This window comes from Homo sapiens, chromosome X (genome assembly GCF_000001405.40).
Source record: "Homo sapiens chromosome X, GRCh38.p14 Primary Assembly".
Lineage (NCBI taxonomy): Eukaryota > Metazoa > Chordata > Mammalia > Primates > Hominidae > Homo > Homo sapiens.
In genome coordinates this window covers 149,781,566-149,788,997 of record NC_000023.11, presented here as the reverse complement: position 1 = coordinate 149,788,997, position 7,432 = coordinate 149,781,566, and the positions used below count along the sequence as shown (strand labels likewise).

The 7,432-nt window shown below is 56.8% G+C and overlaps 1 protein-coding gene across 5 annotated transcripts; it reads right to left on the bottom strand.

Annotated features, from left to right (window-relative positions):
- Positions 1 to 1,260: 1,260 nt before the first annotated feature.
- MAGEA9 (MAGE family member A9) lies at positions 1,261 to 7,121 on the bottom strand. 5 transcript variants are annotated; one of them, XM_024452381.2, is made up of 4 exons: positions 6,971 to 7,121; positions 3,155 to 3,241; positions 2,928 to 2,996; positions 1,261 to 2,852 (listed from the first exon to the last, which is right to left on the bottom strand). In XM_024452381.2, exon 4 carries the CDS (start codon positions 2,785 to 2,787, stop codon positions 1,840 to 1,842), a length of 948 nt encoding a protein of 315 aa, XP_024308149.1. In that variant the 5' UTR covers positions 2,788 to 2,852; positions 2,928 to 2,996; positions 3,155 to 3,241; positions 6,971 to 7,121; the 3' UTR covers positions 1,261 to 1,839. The 5 variants fall into 5 exon arrangements, with proteins under 5 accessions (XP_024308149.1, NP_005356.1, XP_005262391.1 ...); NM_005365.5 differs by having other exon boundaries at positions 7,003 to 7,068; XM_005262334.4 differs by lacking the exon at positions 6,971 to 7,121 and adding an exon at positions 6,412 to 6,515.
- Between the last annotated feature and the right edge of the window lie 311 nt (positions 7,122 to 7,432).

The following is a 7,432-nucleotide window of genomic DNA, read 5'->3' as shown; positions in this document are numbered from 1 at the left end:
AGTGCCAGTGAGGAGGTCTGCCTCCGGCTCAGGGGAGTGGGAACAGCACGGGCTCTAGAGGAATTCAGATCAGGGATCCGGTTCCAGCTCTGTTCCTTACTAGCCACCTGATCCTGGGAAATACCCAAGTTCTGTGAGCCTCTGGTTCTTCATCTGTGAAGCAGGTATGATGAGGCCCTTCCACTAGGACGGTTAGAGTGCGTGCAATGTAAGTGAAGCATCTGGCTCAGGGCCTGGCATTAAGTTAGAAGTTTAAGGAATGGCGGATGGCTGTCATATCTAATACTATTTGACCCTAGACCCTAGCACTCTGGGATTTCGTAAATGTTGTTGTTCTCCAAGACTTACCAGAGAATATACAGCTCAGTAGGACATGGGATAATCAGCCCCAACAGGAAGTTTCGTCAATAAAATTAAGTATTTCCTCTTAGCGAACGTGCTTCAAAATTTGGGTGTGCTGGAGTCTTGCGCAGCTGAATGCAGCTCAAAGCTCCTAGAATTTGAATCGAGGATCAACTCCTTTCCTCTCTCCCACCTGCTTTTGGATCCGAGACTCTGTTTTCACTTATTTTGTTAACACTCGAAATCTAGCCTTTGCTCACAATTGGTCAAATCCCACCTGAGATAACTTGATTAGAATGCCTTTTAAATACGATCAACTCTGGCTCTCCCAGACAGGCAGAAAAGCACCTGGCCAATGACTTCTGGGCTTCCCTTCTGGGAGATTCACCCTCATCTTGCAGGAAACCCTTGCAGATGATAGGTATCCATCACCTAGCCCCTGCACTGTGTTCAAGCGCACCGAGACAAGAGCGCGGGACGATTTCCTTCTATTCCTGCCCCAGGTGGAGACTCTTCTCTGTTCATCCACTATCCAAAAGGAACTGCTGAGCAGTCGTCCATTCCAGGCCTTTCTCTCATCCTCTGAGAATCTGGCTCTGGCACCACCCAGCTTCAATAGAATTACCTCCCCCAGAAGGAACTGCAGTTTCCCAAAGCCCAAAGGGCCCTGGCTCAGGGCATATACACTCGACTGCTGTCATCTAGAGCCCCAAACCCTCACCCATGTTTTATTTTCCTCTACTTCTTAGAGGACATGGCACCACCTTAATTTTAGGATTGTAGCCCCTAGACTTCACCACCCTATGGCAAAGGGGTGGGTCTGGCTTACCGAGCATCTCTACTACTAACCCAGGGTGTTCCGAATAACAGATGTTCAGTGCGTGTCTGAAGAAAAAATGAGCCAGTGAACAGGAAAAATTATTCTTTCAATTTTTATTTCTCTTACATGCTCAAAGAAGCCAAGCAAATCCAGGTATACATGTATATGTTTTAATTTTACAGGAGAGAGAAAGAGGTATAAGGCAAGAATTAACTACATTTTCATTTCACTATTTCTTTATGAGCTCTATTTTGCTGCTAAGTTCAAGTTTCAAAAAAATTATTAATTCCTCTGCTATGTTATCTTGTCCCAATTCACAAAATAACAGGGATTTCCCCATGTGACTCAAAAGCAAGAATCTTACTCCTAAATAACATAAACAGCAATATGTGTGACTACTGTCATTCATTAACTTCGATGGTGAAGTTCATTAAACTGACCATTAAAAGAACATTTGAACAATTCCAAAAGGGAGCAAGGATAAATCTCCAAATCACCCAATAGACAAGGAACCCAGAGATGACATACAGTGTGCTCACTTCCACCCACTGCCACTGAGAACACTGATTGCTCTCTTCAAACACAGAGCGAAGAATGGGCCTCATGTCACATGGGGCAGGGCAGCTGCTGGATGGGGCCCTGACCCCACAAACTTTGGCCCCGGCTGCGGCTGGTGCTCAGACTCCCTCTTGCTCCTCTCCCAAAACCTCTTCATAAAGGGATGGGTAGCAGATGGGCTCTCTTGCATTGAGCATGACCAAATAATTTATGACCTTCTCATAGCTGGTTTCAGCGTGGGCCTTGGAACCCCACAGGAACTCGTAGTGCGCAGGATCACTGCCGGGCACCTGCCGGTACTCCAGGTAGTTTTCCTGCACCCAATCTTGGGTGAGCAGCTTCCTGGGCTCCCCGTAGAACATGTGCTCCTTCCCAACATACACCCCCATCACACTCAACGCTTCCCAGATAACCTCTTCAGGGGCGCAGTTGTCTTTGGTTAGGATCACACCCAGGACAATGATCAGGAGGGCGGCCTTGGGCATGCTATGACCATCACCCAGCATGCTATCGCACGAGAGGCCAAGAGCAGTGACAAGGATGTAGGAGTGGCCGGCGGGGTCCACCTCCTTCACATCAGTGCCAAAGATCACCTGCATGAACTCGGAGGCTTTGCCGAAGATCACAGGAAAGTAGCGCTTGTAATTTTTGATGACGCTCTCCAGCATTTCTGCCTTTGTGACCGGCTCCTTGACTCGATATTTGTGGAGCAGGAAATGAACCAACTCAGCCACCTTCAATTTCAGTGCTTCTTGGAACATGAACTCCAGCTGAGCTGGGTCGACCGAGGAGCTTGGCTCTTCCTCTTCTTGACTGCTGGAGCCCTCATCGAATTGGCTCCATAAAGTGTAGTAGACGGAAATGGAGGAGGAAGCGCCTCCCTGAGGACTCTGGGGAGGACTTGATGACCCAGCAGCAGACACCTCCTCCTCCTTGCTGTCAGAGGAGGAGGTAGTCTCCTCCTCCTCGCCTGTGGGTTCCTGTGCACCCATCAGGCCCAAGTCCTCTCCTTGGGCTTCAAGGTCTTCATCAGGCTTGCAGTGCGGACTCCTCTGCTCGAGAGACATGATGACTCTGGTCAGGGCAGCAGTCAGGAGCGTGGGCAGGAGCTGGGCGATGGAGACCCACAGGCCTGGGGAGAGAGGGAGTGTGTGAGAGACTTCAGCTGAGAACCGAACCTTGGAGGTTCTAACAAAGGCTGACTTACAGGTCTTCGTCAGTGCTGCTCTGGGGCCTCTTGGGGCTCCTGTCCTCCTGGTTAGCCTGTCCCGAGAACCTGAGGGAGGAAGTGAGAGGGCTACTCAGCGTGCAGCTAGCCTGCAGAGATCAAGGCTCTATGAGTGACAGTAGGGGGAATGGGGCCAGGTGCTATGGGGTCCCATGTGTGCTGGGGCAGGTGGGGCCCTTGGTGCACATTCAGGGTGAACACTTCACCTTCACTGCTGACACTGCCTGGGTCTCCTCTGCTCTGCGACCTGAGGACACTGTCTCAGACCAAGGCCTGCCTGCTTCCTGGAGCTCCTGGAAGAGGAATCGAGGGGCCCTTAGGCTGCAGACTGCAGGCAGAGCCCCGGTCCCTCAGTGCTGTCAAGATGGCGGGCTGGACACTCTTGAGTTCTACACACTTTTGGGGTGGATGGTCCCCTCTGCGCTCACTCAGGGCCCTGACCTTTCTCCTGGCAGGGACTGGACTCTACTCCTCTACTTGCCTGAGAGTCTCTCAGATCAGGAGCTCACATCCCTGATATGGAACAGAAGGACATGCCCCAACCAACATCTGCCCACACCTGCCCAGGGTTTCCTCGGAAGTACAGTAAGAGATGTCTAAATTCAATGGGGTCCATGTGTCCTGGGGTGAGGATACTGCCTGGTCCTCATCTTGATGCCTGCAGGGTCTGGAACCCTCCCTCTGTTGACCTGAGGCCCTATCTCCAGGAGACACCTGAAGAGGAAGTGAGGGGAGTCCATCCACCCAGCGGCTTCCCTCAGCTGACACAAGGGGCAGGGTGGGGCTAGGTCCTCTGTGTTTGGTGAGTGGGGTCCCCTCAGTCTGCACCTGGACTCCTGGCAGGGCCTGGGACCCTCCCTCTGCTGACGTGAGTGCAGCCCCCTCAGACCAAGGCCAGCCCTCCCCGACACCAGTGATCCCAGGATAAAGGAGGGACCTCAGCAGACAGCCCTGCCCGGGCTCTCTGGGGTGACAGTAGGGGCAGGGCAAACTCTCTTGATCTGAGAGTTTCTCTGGCCTGGAGGTACCCTCGATCCTCCCTTAGGTTCCTCACCTGGACTGCTCTCCAATCCTGGGACCACTGTGTCTGTCGAACACAGGGCCTCCCTGTTTTGTCCACACACACCCTCTGAGAACAAAGTCCTCACCTCCCTGAGATCCAGAAACAGAGGTGAGGAGGCCCCACATATGTCACCCCTGCGTGGGGTGTCCGGGGCTGACCCCACCAGCTGAACCCTTCAGGTATGAGGTGGGTGTTCCAAAGTCCTCCTGCGGGTTATTCATCTTTACTCCTGCTGGGGCTTCTACTTCCTCGACCCTCAAACCCTTGAGATGAGCAGACATCTCCCTTTACACCAACGCCTCATCCCCCTGAGGGTTCCTCAACTTCCTGCCGTGGTACAAATGAGCTTGCCACTTAGCACCATCCTTGATCAGGCCCCCCCCCGCCCCCAGATCTAAGAACAGAGTTCACCTAGACTCTGTGGGGTGGCTTCTTTCTGCGTTGGGGGTACCTCCATTCCTCATGAAGGGGGCACACCTTGGGTCCTGCTGATCCTGGGAGTCCTCCTTCTACTGACCAGGTGTGGAGCCCTCTGTTGGATCTCTCAGTGCCCCCTGGGATCAAGGTACTCACCTCCCTGAGACCTCTCACCCCCAGTCACGTGGGAGAAATGAGAGCATGCCTCATGCCATTCCTGCCTGGGGCCACCTGGGGCTGAGAACAGGTGACACCAGTGTCTGTGAGGTCCTTTCTTTTTTGAGAGCGTGGAGGTACCTTCTTACCTTCAGTCCTCACCAAACTTCCTCCCCGTCACTCCTGGAAGACCCTGGATTCCACCCTGTGCTGACCAGGTGTGGCTCCCTCTGCTGAGCTGAGGAAACCCCTCGGACCAAGGCCCCCACCTCCCGGAGACCCGGGAGGCAGAAGTGAGGGGCCACCTCATGGTCACTCATGCATGAGATACCCAAGGCTGACCAAAGGAGCAGGTTCCAGGGGGCCTCGTCGGTCTGGGTGTCCTCTAGGTATTCATATTTGCTTCTGACAGAATCTGGCCCCTTCCATTTTGCTGAACCAGAGGTGAGTCTTGCAGACCAAGGCCAATTTCTCCCTTAGACCCTCTTTGAGAAAGTGTGTGTTGGGGGTGGAGGGGGCACTTCCCTTCCTCACCGTCCTGCCTGGGGCCTTCCAAGACTGACGGCAGGGGCAGGTTTCCTAGGTCTGGGATGAGAGGTCTGGTGAATCCTTCCTCAGGCCTCTGGGACTCCTCCTTCTGCTCACCTGAGGCCCCACTCCTCATACCACAGCCCTGTTCCCATTGACACCCGATCCCACCAGCCACAATGCACCACATGCGGCCACCGTGCCCGGGATCGCCCAGGCCAAGATCCCCACTGAGCTGGACTCCGGGGTCCCCTCTGTCCTCCGTCTTGTTCCTTCCCTGGTCTCCTAGAGGGCTGGGCCCCACCCCTCTGTGGACCTGAGTCTCCATCTGTCGGATTCCCGAGGCTGAATGAGGAGGGGCCTCGGTCTCAGATAGGGGCGGGGTGGGCCCCTTGTCCTGGGGTACTGGGTCCCCTCAGGCCTCCCTTGTCTCCCAGCAGGACCTGGGCCCTCCCTCTGTTCTCCCGCGGCCACGCTAACGATACCAAGCCCCTTCCCTCGGTCAGCCCAGGATGCAGATATCACGATCCGCTTGCCTGACCGCCATGCCCGGAACTTCCCAGGGTCCACTGCAGGGGCAGTGACTCCCTCTATGGGGCCTCAGCCCTCCCTCAGGGTCCTGGCCCTGATGCCTGGCAGAGCCTGGCCCCTGCCCTCTCTTAACCAGTCCTGCCCTGGTCACACCAAGCTCTGACCCAGAGTCCCCTGGGGCTTAAGTGGTGGGGTGGCGAAGGGTGGCCCACAGCCTGAGAAGTCCGCCCCCGGGGTGGTTCAGGGCTGGCAGCAGGGGTGCTGCTGGATTATTTGGGGCCCTCTATCTGGAGTGGGGGCGTCCTCAGTCCTCCCTCAGCGTCTCATCTTGCCTCCTCACAGAGCCTGGGCCCGCTTCCCTCTGCCGATCTTCAGCCACCACTCAGAACCAAGCCCTTGCTACTCTCTGACCCCCAGTGCGCAAGTCAGAGGCCTTACATCCGGGCACCCGGAGCTTCCCTGGGTTGACAGCAGGAGCCGAACCGGATTCTGCCACGGGAGACTTGGGGGTGGGGTGGAGTGGGGGGGGGGGTGAGGATGGAGGTGGGGAACCTGAGGCTGTAGGTCATGGTGGTGGTGGCTGGGTTAGGGGTGTGGAGGCGTTCAGCCCTCCCTCAGGGTTCTGACCTTGATGCCAGTCAGAGCCTGGGCCCAGCCTGATACGCCCGACCCCGCGGGGTGGTCCAGGGCTGGCACAGGGGCGGCGCTGTATTATTTGGGGTCCTCTATCTGGGGCGGGGGGTCTTGAGTCCTCCCTCAGGGTCTCACCTTGCCTCCTCACAGAGCCTGGGCCCGCTTCCCTCCACCGATATCGACCCGCCCCTCACAGCGAGGCCCCCGCTACTCTCTGACCCCCAGTGTGGGAGTCACTGGCCGTACATCCGGGCACCTGGGGCTTCCCTGGGTTGACAACAGGGGCGGAACCAGATTCTGCCGCGGGAGAGTTGGGGGGGTGGGGTGGAGTTTGGGGTGGGGTGGGGTGGGGTGGGGTGGGGTGTAGAGTGGAGCTGAGGATGGGGCTGGGGAACCTGGGGCTGTAGGTCATGGTTGGGTTGGGGGGGCCCAGCCTCCCTCAGGGTCCTGGCCTTGATGCCCGGCAGAGCCTGGGCCCTGCCCTCTCCTAACCAGCCCTGCCCTGGTCACACCAAGCTCTCACTCCAGAGTGCCCAGCAGCTTGAGCGGCGGAGGGAGGGGGTCGGCCCAGCCTCACAAGTCAGCCCCAGATCGGCCCCCGGGTGGTCCAGGGCTGGGAGCAGAGACGGCACTTGGTTCTTTCGGGTCCTCTATCTGGGGTGGGGACATCCTCAGTCTTCCCTCAGCACCTCACCTTGACTCCTCACAGAGCCTCGGCCAGCTTACCTCCACCGGTATCAAGCCGCCCCTCAGAAGGAGGCCTCTCCCTTCTCTCTGACCCCCAGTGCGCACGTCAGTGACGTCACATCCGGCCCCCAAGCCTGGAGCTTCCCTGGGTTGCCAGTAGGGGCTGAACCGGGTTCTGGCGGAGTAGGGGTGGGGATGGGGATAGGGGCCCTCAGTCATCCCTCAGGGGGTCCTGACCTTGATGCCTGGGTCTCGATCCCCATTCTCTGCCCATTGGGTCTGCTCCTCTCGGACCAAGTCTCTGACTCCCAGTCACATGAGGTGGCAGTGAGGGGAGGGGTGTGGTCGGGGTGACAACATTGCCAGGGTCTTCCAGGGCTGACAGGAAGGGCTGAGCTGGATTCTGTGGCCCCTCTATGTGGGGAGGTTGGACCTTCAGTCCCCTCTCAGGAGGGTTCTCCTCCTGGCT

Coding starts and splice junctions, on each gene's coding strand:
- MAGEA9 (XM_024452381.2), bottom strand. CDS start 2,787: ATGTCTCTCGAGCAGAGGAGTCCGCACTGCAAGCCTGATGAAGACCTT.